At 36.2% G+C, this 16,282-nt stretch overlaps 1 protein-coding gene across 16 annotated transcripts in view; it reads left to right on the top strand.

Annotated features, from left to right (window-relative positions):
- CEP128 (centrosomal protein 128) overlaps positions 1–16,282 on the top strand; it is a 482,534-nt gene that overhangs the window by 172,690 nt on the left and 293,562 nt on the right. For 15 of the 16 annotated variants that reach the window (XM_047431023.1, XM_011536493.3, XM_011536491.3 and 12 more), the window contains 2 exons: positions 1,268–1,918; positions 8,767–8,931. In XM_047431023.1, the coding sequence (XP_047286979.1) occupies positions 1,268–1,918; positions 8,767–8,931 (816 nt within the window). Of the gene's footprint in view, positions 1–1,267; positions 2,383–8,766; positions 8,932–16,282 lie in introns of all 16 variants that reach the window. The other variant, NR_157142.2, reaches the window with a different exon arrangement.

Here is a 16,282-nt window from a genome sequence, read left to right as displayed (position 1 = left end):
GATCACTACCTTGCATAAACACCTCCCTGAGACCCTAATACCTCCTCGAACTTAAATTCTACTCCAACTTTTTGTTTCCCCTTTCTCACTAATCTTCATCACAGTCTTATGAAATAGCTATTATTATTTTCTCTAGTAAGAGAAATGATTTCCCCGAGGCCATAGAATTGCCCGTGATTGAACTGAAAATCAAATTCACTTCTTTCTGGTCAGAGCTCAACTGCTTATTCATCTCCTTTTGTTAGTTCTCATGTTATCTTTGTGCTCTTTCTTTCTTTCAGTTAAAACTGAGCAGGATTGGGGAAACTTTTTTTTGGAGTGATTGACTCATTAAATTTTTGTCATAAATTGTTTTACACTGAAGTATAAAATGTGAAGTGTAGAAATGTCTTGCAAATATTTGCATTTTAACTCATTATTTGTAATTCTGAAATGAGTCTTAATTGGTTCCTTTTTTTCCCTCCTGTTTCACGGAGATTATCTTTGGTGCCAGTGTTGTATAGAAAACAATCTTGGCTCCCTTGGCTGCCCATTATTTTATTTGCAATGATTAGGTGGTGAGAATTAGAGGCCAGAAGAGTTAACCCTTGGCCTCTGTCCTTCCATGTAAATCTTAGAGAGGCTGGCATAGAATGATGGACTTCTAGGCCCTTGACTTTTCTCTTGAGCCCTTTCCCAACCTTTCCTGACTTAATCTCATTTCTTTGTGGGCTTCCAGGCTCCCAGTTGCATATTGGTGAGTTTTCGTCACCATTGATATTTTAAAAATAATGGCTGAATGTACCGTAAACTTTCTTGTATTGTATCTGCATGCTTCCCTATATTATTTTCCATCTCTGTTTTGGGGTTTCTCCTTTTTAAAAGTGTATCATTGGAATGTACATCAGTATTATTTTAGGTAATAGTGTATTATTTCAACCTGTAGTAAGTTTTCTTTATAATGAGAGTCTTTGCTTTCCCCATTTGTTTGCTCAATTTTATCTTACATTTAAATAATTATTTGTGACCATGGATTGAAATAAGTTTTGGTGATGAAAATTTGAAATACATATTTCAGTGTGTTGCTATTTCAGGACAATTATATATTCCCCCCCACCTTTCTGGCCTAAAAGTATTTTTATTAAAAAATGGGAAAAATACAAAAATTATTTGATGAATTTTTTTTTTCCTTGTGGGTTAAACATTGTTTTGCTGACTGGCAGAGTCTATGGTGAATTTTACAGTAACTTTTATTTTTTTCTTTTGCTTCATGTTCTTAACCTGATAGATTTTAAAAGAAAAGGATGAATTGAAAACCCAGCTGTATGCAGCATTACAACAAATAGAGAATCTTCGAAAGGAATTGAATGATGTCCTAACAAAGCGTGCCCTTCAGGAGGAGGAGCTTCACTCCAAGGAGGAGAAATTACGTGATATTAAGTCTCATCAAGCTGACCTTGAATTGGAAGTTAAGAATTCCCTGGATACCATCCATAGACTGGAGAGCGAATTGAAAAAGCAGAGTAAGATCCAAAGCCAGATGAAAGTTGAGAAAGCTCACTTGGAGGAAGAAATTGCAGAGCTCAAGAAGAGCCAGGCCCAGGACAAAGCTAAACTTCTTGAGATGCAAGAGTCCATCAAGGACCTGAGTGCCATCCGAGCAGATCTTGCTAATAAATTGGCTGAGGAAGAGAGAGCCAAGAAAGCAGTGCTTAAGGACCTTTCTGACCTCACTGCACAGGCAAAATCCAGGGATGAAGAAACAGCTACAATCATCACACAGTTAAAGCTGGAACGAGATGTGCACCAGAGGGAGCTGAAAGATCTCACATCATCATTGCAGAGTGTGAAAACAAAACACGAACAGAATATCCAGGAGCTTATGAAGCACTTTAAGAAAGAAAAGAGTGAGGCTGAGAATCATATCAGGACTCTGAAGGTACCTCTGCTAAATTATCCTGATGATACTGAAGGAATTTTTCTGGTGGCTCATGAAGTTAATAAAGCGTAAACTTTTAGAGATCATTCTGTATTCCCAAGCACTGAAGGGAAGATAAAACCAACAATAAAGAGGCTTATTCATGCCTGTTCGGCCAGGTTGAAATGAGTTATAACAGCCACCTGGGAGCACCTATTTCAGAGCATTGAAGCCCTTTATAAAGAACGTTTAGCTGTTTGGGGAGTTCAGGAAAGGCAGAGGTGGCAGTAAGTCATGGACCTGAAACGTGCCCTCATTCAACATTTATGACCTCCTAAAATATAAAAGGCAAAGACTCGTCAAGGCCAGAGAAGCTATAACCACAGTCCTTATTTGTATGGTAACTAAAGTGGATCAGCTTATGGGCTGTGTAAACCCAAGGCTTTCGAGATTTACTCCTTCTTTTCCAAATCAAAGTTGCCTGGGTAAATGCCTAATTGGGATCTTGCATTTGAGGAAATGTTTCTAAGGTCTAATGTTGTTAGCATTATCACCATGCAGGGCAATCATTTTATAACATGATTGTCAGGAGTGTGATAAATCTGTTCCTCTTCCTGTCTTTTTTTTTTTTTTCATAACACGTGTCATATGATATAGATTCCATATTATTTATTTTTTAATATCCCCTTATTGAAATGAAGACTCTCTGAGGATAGGGATTTTAGTCTGTTTTGCTTCTAGCTATATCCCCAGTGCCTACAACAGTTTTTTGGAACATTGTAAATATCTATTGAATAGGTGAATGAATGAATGGATAAATCTTTGAAGGTTAATTATTATAATGTTTTTCAAAAGCCTTTGAAATGCAACTACTACTTTCAAAATGCTTATGATTTAAGATGAAATGATATTGAAATAGTTGACATCTGTAAAATGATGTAGCTATTCTATGAGTCCTTCCCCAGTCCTAGATAGCCTTCTGGCATTAGTGGATTTGGGGTCTTCAGTTGGGATTGGCAGGTCAGAATGGAGGCTAAAATAGGTAAAAGACCCTTACTATATTTCATTAAACCTAAGACACCTTATAAGATGCATCATTGCTGTTATTACTAGATGCATATGCTCCTAAGAAATAAAAATGCTGCCTCCTGCCTATGAAACCATCATAATGCTATCAAGTGTAAGAACTCCCAGGTCAGAGATGGTCAAATGTGGAAGATACACATTTTAATGTTGATGAACTATGGAATAGTAATCTTTTAGAGTTGATGAATATAGAAAGTAGAGTTTGGGATATGGAGAAGAGCTGATCTTATAGAAAATAAAATATATATTACATGTTGATTGATTGGCTGTGACAATAACAATACTACCAGCAATCAGTTTTTCAACATTTTGTGCCGGTCACTGCTCTAAGAACTTTACAAGTGTTAATCATTTAATACCCACCTCACCTTGCAGATTGTGTGGTATTATTTTCTCCCTGATGAAGCAATTGGGACACAGAAGGTTAAGTAATTTGCCCACGGTCTTACAGCAGGAGAGTGGTAGGGAAAGGATTTGAACTCAGGTAATTAACTGTGTTCTTAACTGCTTTGCTAGTCTGGAAAAAAGTTTAGACTCAAGGACAGGTAGGTAATGACTTTGGGAGATTAGGTGGATAATGATACTATTGCCAACATAGAGAATACAGACAGAATAGAAGATTTGAAGAGAACAGTGGTAAATCTAGTTTGTTTTTGTTGTTGTTTTTTAGCATATTGTGTTAAGGGGAGGGACTTTAAGCTTAACCAAGAAAGTCTAGGTGGAACAGATTAGTACATAATAATTAGTAGGGTCAAGAGTTGAGGGAGAAATTGAGATTAGAGTGAAATATTTCGGAGCCAGTTAACTCTTGGGTGGTAGTTCATATCATGGGATTTGGATGAGATTGTGCAGGGAATAAAAAGAGGATGAGACTCTCAAACTCTAATGTTTTAAGGAAAGAATTTACTAAAAGGGCCTAGCAAATAAAAATAAAAGGCCATATGACAGGAGGAGAATCAGAAGAGAATGATGTCTTGGAAACCCAGGTAAGACATTTTAAGAAAGTTATAATCAAGAGTGATAAATGTGACAGGCAAGCTGAAAGAAGAAGTATAAAAAGCCTTCATTCCATTCAACAGAGGTTGATGGAGAAAGTACATGAGGAGATGTGAGGGGATTTGATAAAAAATAAGAGTATATAGCATTCAACAGGAGACAAGGCATCTTTCCTCTGAAGGATTCGGAGGAAACCAGTAAGACTGGGTAAGTTGGTAGGGATGATCTGGGGAAATTGATGTGAATCTTGACTGATAGCCTTTCTTCTCTCTGAAGTAGAATAGGACAGTAGTGCACCAAGAAATTAGGAGCAGTGAAGATGAAAACTGGTATGAAGACTGGTACAAACTGACCGAGACTAGTCTAGGAGCGTGTAAAGTACTTCCATGTGGCTAACATTGAAGAACAAAGATTGTGGGCAAAGGAATGAGAAAGCTGAAGGATAAAAATCTGCCGTCAGAGGTTGCTGATTTGGTCAGGAAGTGCAATATAAGAATTTTCAGAGTTGAGGTCTAAGGTGTGGTCATGCAGTGGTTGCTGTTGTGCGATGTTGGTGAAGGTAGTTGGGAAAGAACAGGTCAAATAACTTTGAAGTTAACTTGTGGGATGGACACTTGGCTATTTAAGATATTGTGAAGGCATTAATTGGTCACATGCCAAAAACCACAGTGAAGAGGGTGACTGGTCAGTCAGCTGTTGCCAGCAAGGTAGAGGGGGTTGATGAGAAATAGTGTGATGTGAAAGGAAGGCAGGGTTTTTGCATGAGGACAAGCATGTAATGATTTGTTAGGAGAAACTGGCATGGCATAGAGAAATGGTTTGTTTTAAGAAGCTTGCAGTTTTCTTGAGAGTGTTGTTGAAACTAGAACCTTCCTTCTCACTAGTACTTATGTCTTATCACCATTATTTAGGTTGTATAATAATCAACACAATGGTCAGGAGTTAGTAATAATTTTTTCAGTTAGAGCATGTTCAAGATCATCTCTGTAAGGCCATAATTCTCACATTCCGATATGCATTCTTCAGTGAGAAATAGTAACTGCATTTGCTCATGGATACATTGGCATATGGACAATATATCATATGTCATACTAGAAAACAGAATGCAGACTGCTAACTTGCAATGTAGCCATACTTCTAAGTAACCTCCCTACTTCCCTCTAGTTCCTTTCTCTACCTGCAACCCCTTCCTTTAGCCCCCCGGATACTCTCTGATTTCCTTTCCCAAAATATATATCTGAGTGTGTCACTTTCTACTGAAAAACCTTCGTTAATTATTTACTGTCTCTGTAATAAAGTCTCCACTCCAGCCCAGCCCCCCTTGAAATGATTCTACCTTACTCATGTACATTCATTACTTTTTTTTTTTTTTTTTTTTGAGACGGAGTCTCGCTCTGTCACCAGGCTGGAGTGCAGTGGTGCAATCTCAGCTCACTGCAGCTTCCGCCTCCCGGGTTCAAGCAATTCTCCTGCCTCAGCCTCCCAAGTAGCTGGGACTACAGGTGCGCACCACCACGCCCAGCTAATTTTTGTATTTTTAGTAGAGATGGGGTTTCACAATGTTGGCCAGGATGGTTTCGATCTCTTGACCTCATGATCCCCCCCACCTTGGCCTCCCAAAGTGCTGGGATGACAGGCATGAGCCACTGCCTGGCGCGTTCATTACCTTTTATGCTCTCCAACATTCCTCATACAAATATAGATTACTGTGCATACTTTTGACTGCTCATTCTCTATCTGAATCGGCCTCCTAGTCTGCAGGAAGAAGAATTCTGCCAAATCCTTTAAGGCCCAATTTTGTACTTCTTTTATGGATCCACTGAAGTTGGAATAAATTTCAGTTGAGGTGGAGCTAATCTCTTGGTCTTCTGTATTTCCATAGGTCTTTTATTGGTGCCCCAGGTACAGCACATTTAGGCTGCCTTGTATTTTGATTTGTTGCATGTTCATAAGTCTCCAGAGGGACAGGCATTAGATCTAAGCTATTTTGTATCCTCTTATGGTGTCTAGCATAATGTTCCAGACATACAGAAGATGCTCAGTGGCTATAAGTTGAAATGTTGAAAAAGCTAGAAATCAGAGCATTTGCTCCTAACTTGCTCAATGATCTGTTTGGTTTGGATTTCTCCATGTAATGTGGGAAAATTGATTTCCTCATTTTTTTTGAGGAAGTGCTTTGAGTTCATTTGTTGTGAGATGATAACAAAGCTTTAGTAAATTCCCTATGTGTAAAGAATTTAGAATTTATAAGCATTCTGCGGATCTTCTGAAACCTTTGGACTTTTCTTTTTTTTTTAAATTTGAAAGCTTGAGATCTGGGAGGGGTGTTAAAGCTATTCCCTAATGTGGTATTGAAGTTGCTCTAGAGTTGGAAGAATGGCCAGAGATTGTGTGAGCCCAGCAGTTTCCTGTGAAACCAAACAATTTACCCTTAAGGAAAAATCACCACTTCATGCCATTTTATTAATATATCCATACTTTTTACTTATTTATATTAATTAAATTGAGTTGAGAGCAAAGGCCATCACAGGAGATGTAATATACTGAATTATGCACACAACGGAGTTTTAGACAAGTAGCTCTATAAATGTTGTATTTCTGTGTCTTTCAGCTTCATTTGAACTTATTACATTTTTGAGTCTAATAAGCTCTGATAAGCCATCCATATTTTTTCTCTGTACAAATTAGTTCTATTTTTTTCCTCCTTCTAGAATCACCCCTCTCATACCTATTTTTAAATTTAAATTTAAAATGTTTTAATGACATGCTGTATCTGCTATTAATATTTTCAGGATATTGGTCTATTACCTCATTGCAATTTCAACAAAATCATTTTGTAGAGCCTTTTTTTGGATTCAGAAGATGCAGGATTGGAGTTCTGTGTTTTTGCCATTTGCTGACCATTTGATCTTGGTCAAGTTATTTCACCTTTTTATGCCTCACTGTTAAAATAGGAATAATGTCCTTCTATATCACTGGGTTGTTGTGCACAAACATCACTTTGTAAATTCTGAAATGAAATATAAACGTAATAAAAACCACAACAATAAGTAAGTTGTTAGTCAAGCTTCGCATTGGTGTGCTGGTAAATATTTGAAAACAGGCTTCCGGTGGGTGGAAAACCCTTGATTTATAGCATTTGCCAAGTTTGGGGGTTCTGAATACCCCTTTCTTGGCTGATTTCAAGCTATCAAATGAGACATCATTGGGGAGGGGTGAAGTTGGGAAGAGAAGAGCCCAGTTGGCTTTGACAGTTTCTATGAGCTGGCTGCAGCACACTACAGACTTTAGGGGGAATTCTTTGTATTTACCTATGCTTTTGTTAGGACATAAAGAAAAGTAAAAGCATTCTACTGAAACTTAAAATCATAGTTGAACAATTTTCCTGATGAGAGATTTTATTTTGTAAATTTATTTTGGGCTGTGAATATAGGATTGCTCATAAAAAATCAATTTCTTTGTTAATTTAATGTGGCATCAGCTCTCAGGTAAATTTTGTGGGGTAAATAAAATAAAGATTTTGTCTAAAACTCACAAAACTTCTTTCTTTCAGGAAATTGTTTCCATTGATTGCGTTCCTATATACCTAATTAAACTCATATGATAAACTTATAAAAATAAAAGAAACATATATTTTAGGCATTAAAGCATATATTTTAAACAGATTAAATGTGATTGCTTACAGACTGTCAGCAACTGGTAGGTGTGTTTTGTTAGCATTTCTAGTTGCACCCAGTTGGTTTTTAAAACCTAATGATATTGTACCTTTTGGGAGGAAGTGTGGCGTAGTTGAAAGCAGGGACATTAGAAAGAATTCCTGGGTTCAAATCCTGACTCTGCATTTATTCACTGTGTATCTTTGGGCAAGTGATTAGCTTGCTTTTATTTCTCATTATTATTGGAATAAGGACAATCATAATACCTTATTTGATTCTCACAGGTTGTTACGAGGATGAAATGAGGAAAAACTGTATACAGAAAAGTCTTAGAGCAGTGTCTGGCACATAGTGTTTACATTATTGTTATTTTAAAATTCTTTAAGTTCACATACCTGACAAATCTTTACTGAATTTCCTATATAGAATAGATTATTTCCAAAGTTTATTTTTTAAAAGCTGGTTCTGGTTATACCCTAAATAAAGATCAATAAATAGATATTGTACTACACTACTGATGTTGAAAAAATAACTGGTAAACTTTTTCATTTTAAGTTTGTAGTTTCTTGATTGTTATACTTCATAATTTTTTTAGCCCCATAAGAGTAGTATTGATAATGACTTACATAAAAAGTACACCATTATTTCATAGAAACCAGAAGTGAAGGTGAACAGGAATGTTAAGCCCCATCTATAGACGAGGGAACTTATCAGTTAGTAACATCTCATAGTATTTCCCTTTTGGGACACTTCTCTAATAACTCCTTCCCCTCTTAGCAGAGCTGGTGTCTCTTCTTTGGATTTCCAAAATATCCAGCTTACACCTTTAATAAGCACTTCTCTTTCAGTGTTGTCAAATAGATTGTTGCATCTGACTCTCTTACTATTCATATCTGTTATCTTTAGCATCTAGTCCAGTATCTACCACTTCGTAAATGCTTGGTAAATACTGATGAGCGATTGAATAACTGCAAAGAACATTTCCTTTGTGTTTATTTTAATATTTATATATGAATGCTTTGAACGAGCTGAAATCTTGCAGTGTTTTTCCACTGATAAAATATGTAATGTGTTTGGTGTATTTTGGCTATGGCTAGTGGACTTTCTGTTTTTTCCTTCTCTTTTTCTCAGGCTGAAAGTTTAGAAGAGAAGAATATGGCTAAAATTCATCGTGGTCAGCTGGAGAAGTTGAAATCACAGTGTGACAGACTGACAGAGGAATTAACCCAGAATGAAAATGAGAACAAAAAACTGAAGCTAAAATATCAATGTTTGAAGGATCAACTAGAAGAAAGGGTAAAAATATGAGTGAATTCTAATTTCAAATTCTAATTTCAATTTTAATTTCCTCTAGAAAATATTTTATATATCAACAAATGATAATTGTAGTCCTTCACAGGGAAGTTGTATTGGTGCCCCCCAAAAAAGTCAGTTTATTAGAATGCTGTGATTTTTATTCTTTCAACCACCCATTCAGCTTCTAATACATTTGAAGGGTAAGAATTTGATTTTAAATTTTTTCTGTCTTAAAATAGAAATTTAGAAATGAAGTAGAAAAAAAGGAATGATGGTTTATTGAGGATCTACTATAAGTCAGATATTTATGCCAACTGATTGACCTATGTCTATCCATCATTTAAGTCTTACAACTCTTTGAGTTAGTGTCTTAGTCTGTTTGAGCTGCTATAACAGAATGCTATAGACTGGATAGAAGAAAAACAACAGAAATTTATTTCTCTTGGTTCTGGAGGCTGGGAAGTCCAAGATCAAGGTGCTGGCAGAATCAGTGTCTGGTGAGGGCATGCCTTTTGGTTCACAGATGCTTCTTCTTGCTGTGTCTTCACATAACAGAAGTGGAGAGAGAGCTCTCTGGGGTCTCTTTTATAAGGGCATTAATCCTATTCATAAGGGTTCTACCCATTCACCTCCCAAATCACCTCCCAATCACCTCCCAAATCACCTCCCACCCTCAATTATCATCACATTGTAGATTCAGTTTCAACTATGAATTTTTGGGTACATACATTCAGTCTGTAGCAATTAGGTTTTATTGCTCCCTTTTGAGTGACAAAACTGAGGTTCAAATTACCTAATTAAGTGTTCACTTATGTGGTAGGTAGGCACTGTAACTATTAATTCTCATGGTAAGAAGGTTGTAACTTTGGTACATCCCCACCAGGCTCACTGCTTTCCTTTGAGTAGATGTGTAAAATTATTGAGTGACTTCATATATTGTGTTGGATAGAATAATAAATATTTTTAGAAGTCACTACTTTTGAGGTTCTCTTGTGGCAAAAAGTCAACTAAGAATAGGAAACAGAATATTTAAATTTGTTTTCTCTTTCACCCACTTCCTAAAAGGGTTTGAAATTGAAGGTAATAGAAGTCAAATGTAAAAAATGACCATCAAAGTATGGTTAATAGGATGAGACACTATATACATGGGCCAAATGAATGCACGTATGTGCTCAATCAGGGTTACTTAAATCTATGATGAAAGGAATTAGCACTGGGTGGATTGTCATAAAACTACTCATAAACTTCTAGGAAGAAACTTTCTTAGTGCTTTGCTTACATTTCCGCTTTTTGTTGTGTATAAGATGTTGCTACTATTAATATATATAATAATATATATAATTAATATATATTAATATATAGAGTAGTAAAAAAATTACATATAAATATAAAATTAAATATATATATAAATTCTCTAGTAATTGGTAAAGCAAGGAAATAAAATGTAAGTTAGGAGTTTATGATTAAATGTGCTTATGTTGCTAAATTTAGGCCTATAGTCTTGAAAACAGCTGTCATTTAGTTCTATGTCATGCTTTGTTTTGATTGTGTCTAATGGTCACATGTATTTAATGTATCTATTGGCAGGTTGTAGTTCTGGTGATAATGCTAAATTTTTCAACTTTTTCAAAATAAAATTCTAATTTATGAAATTATGAAGTTAGCCAGAAGATTGCATTAATGTGTTTTATATTTCCATAGCTGCATTTAAGAAATAGTGGTGAAAAATTTGATATGTTGAAAATGTCAGCTGGGCATGGTAGCCCATGCCTTTAATCCCAGCACTTTGAGAGGCTGAGGTGGGCGGATCACCTGAGGTTAGGAATTCTAGACCAGCCTGGCCAACGTGGTGAAGCCCTGTCTCTGCTAAAAATACAAAAATTAGCCGGGTGTGGTGGCGAGCACCTGTAATCCCAGCTATTCAGGTGGCTGAGGCAGGAGAATCACTTGAACCCGGGGGGCGGAAAGTCGCAGCGAGCCGAGATCGTGCCACTGCACTCCAGCCTGGGCGACAGCGCGAGACTCCATCTCAAAAAAAATAAAAAAATAAAAAATACATGCTGCTTCACAGATTCTGCTTATGATATTTCAGATGCATGTGTTATCACGCATTCATATAAGTGGAGCATTCACTTTAGAACAGAACTTGAAGAATTAATGATTTTATTTTAATATTGCTATGTATTGAGCATCTGCTATATGGCAGGCATTGTGCTGGATGTTGAGGATAGGACAGAGATAAGATACATGTTTGTTGTTGGCTAACACATAGTGGGATTTTTAAAAACAAAATCTCTTTCAGTTGTTAAAACTATGTAGTCAAGTCTTGACAATGGGTGCTAATGCAGAGAAAAGATGGTCTCTGTATCCTAAAATGGCATATAATCTTAACGATACACACGCAAACATGCTTATATTATATGTAGTTTATATGCTTTCTAATCTTTAATATTTAGTTTTCATGTACATGATTGCTATGTACTTTAGGTTAACTTAGCTGTTTGTGTTGATCCATTTATAGTTAGCTATGAATCAAAATTTTGTTGGATTGAGCCAACTACAGATAGGGACTTTCTCTTTGAGAGATAGTATAGCAATAATGATTATGCGTAAAACTTTGAATTCTTTCCTACCTGCGTGGCTTTAGGCAAGTTATTTAAAACTCAAAGCCTCAGTTTTATCATCCTTCAAATGGGCATAATAATACCTTTATTAGGATTAAGTGTGAGGATGTATGTAAAGTGCTTGGCATGGTATCTGGTATCTAATAAGATATCAGTTAATGGTAGCTGCCATTATTTTGTTATTGTTATGTTTCCAAATATATGCTGACTACTGGTTCAACCAAGCAGTCAACCAATTGGCATATATGGAATGACTGCCTACGGTCAGCCTAATGATGTGTTAGTAATAAAAATAATGTGCCTATGATTTACCTAATCATAAAGCCACAGAACTTTGCTGATGGGAAGTTTAGAACCAGACTATGTTGAATCATTTGAAACAGAGGAGGCACACATGTGAAAAGAGCTGGCTGGTTCATCAGCAAGTGATATTGAAGGCACATGTGTTAAGCAAACCAAACAGGTGGGCACTTTTATAATTATGCTTGATATTTGAGGAGACGAATTACACCTTGGTCATATTTCCATCTCCAAGACCAGGCACAGAGCCTGACACATAGTAGGTAATTTATAAGTAAATTATGGACAAAGAGGTATGTGTGTATACACACACACACACATACACACACACGCACACACACACACACATATGTATATATGTAAAGAAATATGGATACACATACACACATGTATAAGGTGGCCAGTCTGGGGCAGATAAAAGCAAGAAAACGAAATAAAAATATGTTTTCAATGAAGGAAAACCCAGTGATTAGTAGCCTGAAGATTACCATGTAAGCAATGCAATGAATTTGATAAATGAGGCCTTATGGGTTGAAGGGACAGCTCTGCTACAATCAAAAGGGGTGGACGCTTTCTAATTTGCTTAACAAGGTGGTATTTTTGCATGCCCATCCTCAACATCAATGTGTGATGTTACTGAGGCTACCAATACACACAGCCTTTTTTTTAAAGCCTTGCTTTTATTTTGACTGTGTGGTTTTAGATTGTGTTTCTTGTCATGTTATTATTACCTGGTAAGCTAAGAAATATTAAAACTGCATCAAAATTCATATAAACCATTAGCATCAGTGGTAGCATTAATCAGTGGGAGAACACTGCCCTTGCTAAATATCCACAGAATAACTGACTTTAGCATATTTTCCTCATGTATTCAGTGGTGATATATGGTATTAAAATGCATTTTTTCTAACATCTGATTTTGCTTTATCAAATGTTATTTTTCAGTTTTACATGACAAAGAGAACGAGTGTTATGCAACCCACAGATTTTTACATATTCATTTGGTACTTTTATTACTAGCTTCTAACCAGGGCAAAAAAGCTACCCTGAAATATTATAGAAAGAATTTTCTCCCATCCCTAGTATCATTAAAATTTATTGTTCCTTTTGCTTACATTTTATGGTGAAATATTTGATTCTTCTTTTGTTTCAGAAGAATCTTACTGATATTAATCTTTTGATTTTTGTGACATTTACCTGTTTACTCTATCAGAAATATATTTTTATTAGTTTCACTGGAATCTGTGAATCAACAAGTGTTAGTGCATAATTGAATCATTTTTGTTCAGCCAGTCAGCATTAAAGTTTACGTAATGAAGGTTTTAAATGCCTGATCTATATGGATCTGCACCCTATGTAATTAAAAAAATTCGTTTGCAAATAGTTATGAGCTTATAAATGACATCAGCTGTCTTTGTAAAGTCAAGTAGTTTGGTAGTAGATATATTTAAAAAATTGATTTTAATTTTGAATATGTTTGTATATTTTTAAAATAGCTGACACTGAAAATTGACATTATTTTATAAATTATTTTTTATATACTGCATATGTTTTCTTCATCCTTATGTTTTATAAATGCTGTTTTATCAAAGAATATATACAATATTTTGTGCAGATGTATTTATATACAATGAGAAAAATTTATAAAGAAAATGATAGCAATATTATGAGATTGTTTTCCTAAGTCTAACACAAACACCATAAAGACATTTATTTTCCAGTATTAGTGAAGGAATAATTTAATTTTACTGATGATTTTCATTTTATATATACAAGAATCTGAGAAATTATAGGTATATAGAATATCTTGTTCTTGGATATTCTAGGCGGAATTATGAGAATATGTTTCTTGTTACTAGGTACCCAAACCTGGAGGAATTCAGAGATACCTGCCACCCTCATTTTACTTTTCTCCTTTAATCCACCCATAATCACCTCCGTACATGGAGCTTCCTCTGTTACAAAAGATGCTGTCTTACGCCTTTAGTTAGCTAGCCTTGACAATGTTGCAAGTTCGTCAGGAGTTTTTCAGTCTTTCTGCCCCTGAAAAATCTACGTATTACCTTTTGTTTAACAAGCATTGTCTCAGAGTTTACACGGTAGCACTGGACTACTGAGACAAAGCTGGTAATGAGAGGAGAGAGTTCCCTGACCCCCCTTGCAGGATGTGCAACAGGGTTGTGGCTTGTCTGTTGGGCTGCCATGCACACTGAAACCTCTTATGGGAGGGGGAGCACACAGATTGGCAGGTGCAGGAGTTGGGGCAACTACCTCTGGGATCCAGCCCCACAGTAGCATCCAGGCGTGGGTGTCTGTGACTCCTGAGGCCCTAGTAGGCATGTGTCACAGTGCACTCTTTTAGCCTTGCCATCTGCAGATGGCTTAAGTGTTAAACAGCTCAGTGCTCTCTTGGTACCCAGGTCCTGTCCGGCATCCAGGAAGAATCAATTCACGCATGGACTTGAAGGATGAATGCACGGTTTTATTGAGTGATGGAGGTGGCTGTCAGCAGGATGGATGGGGAGCTGGAGGGGGGATGGAGTGGGAAGATGATCTTCCCCTGGAGTTTGGCCATCCAGCAGCTGATCTCCTCTCCAACCGTCCCCAGTGTAACTCCTCTCGATGTTCAGATGCTCCTCTCTTTTGTCTGTCACACCATTCTGCCATTCTTCTGCCCTTCTGTTCATCTTCTTTTCTGCTCATGGAGCCAGGGGTTTGGGGTTTATATGGGTACCAGATAGAGGGATGGGTGGGCCAAAAGGCAACTTATGGGCACAAAAACAGGAATTTTTGTTCTCATTTAGGGCCATGGTTTCCAGCCTTGAGGGTGCAGCCTTTGTGGGCAGCTGCCCCTCTTCTACCCCATATTTCCGTGTGTACTGTCCATATCAGTAATTCCAAAAAACATTTGGTATCAGTGTTAAAGTTTATAAGAATTTTAAACAGAAGGTCAGCTTAAACATAATCTTAAACAGAAGGTCAGCTCCCAATACCTTATTTTATAGATGAGGTTCTGGCCCAAAGAGTTAACTGACTTACCTAAGAGCTCCCAGCTATCCTTGGGTAGAAATGGAAATAGGACTCAGGGTTACCAGTCCTGTTCTTTCCATTGATCAGAATCAGTAAGAACCATTTCTGGCCAGTGTTAATTGGAGACACTGAGCTATCTCATTTAATACTTACTTGTTTCAATAGCTATGCTTAGTTCTCTTTAGAGGACCTTATTTTCTGCTATTAATTCTTTCAGAAGATGAGAAAAACTTCAATGAAACAATTAAGAGATAGTTTAAGACCAGAAATTATGAGACATCTAAGGCTATAGCAATTGATAGGAACTTGTGTTGAATAGATCAGGATGCATAGAAATGCATTTTTGTTCCTTCCCATGAAAAGATTTATTTAAGTCATCTATAAAGTGACACCTAGTAACATTTTAAAGCTGTCATTATGTTGGATAAAAACACTTGAAATCGTTTTCTTATACAACATATGGATCTTTAAAAAATGGTAGTTATAATTCACATTTGCAAGTGTATTTATGGTGCCCATTTCTACAGATGGTAGAAACTGAAGTTGAGAGAATATAGTGACTTGCTCAACACTGCATAGAAACATGGTAGAAACAGGATATAAGCATACAGTCCTTGTATTCTTCTCCTTTATTTATTGCCAGCAAAATGACTCTCTTTTCATTGAACTCTTAGCATTGAATTTAAATTTAGGGTTATTGCATTCAACAAATTACCATATACTCTTATTTTTTGGTCTGACAAATTTTGGAATGTGAGTCGTCAATGATTTTGTTAGAAAAATCTAATTAAAACCTGAACTTTCCACATAAAACGTATCTGTGAGAGGAAACAGTGAATCAGTGTTTTTAAACTTTGTGTTTCAGTTCTAATTTAACCATCTGTTTAGGATTGCTATTTTTTGATGATGGGGAAAAATATATATGATTTTCAGATGTCTGTTCTATGAAGTATTCACTACTTTGCAAAGTCACATTGTCACATTTTTGACTAAGAGGTATTTGATGGTAGCAGGCAGAATTTTCTGACTTCAGATTTTTCTAGAGAAATCAGAAAAATAGAAGCAAATGAGCTGTTGACTTCTAGCATTTACTTTAATGTTTACACTTTAGACCATTTTTAGGCAGCTTGTGGTCTTTTTTTTGGTGCTACAGATATTTTAAGTTGTGTGAGTAGAATAAAGTTGTAGTCACCACACATTAATTTAGAAGCAAATTTAAACCAGATACTCTAAGTAAACACTAACTAGGATGTTATGAGTAATTTCCTGTAAGATTCCCATCTTCTTAATAAAAACAATAATAAAAATAATAAAATGGTTGAAGGCAAATGATACATTTTTAGGAGTTTTCATTTAAAGTATGTTTAATTGAATCACATGTAACCATTAAGCCCAGA

Source organism: Homo sapiens, chromosome 14 (assembly GCF_000001405.40).
Source record: "Homo sapiens chromosome 14, GRCh38.p14 Primary Assembly".
Lineage (NCBI taxonomy): Eukaryota > Metazoa > Chordata > Mammalia > Primates > Hominidae > Homo > Homo sapiens.
Note: the sequence above shows the minus strand (reverse complement) of the source record. Positions and strands in the feature narration are given on the sequence as shown.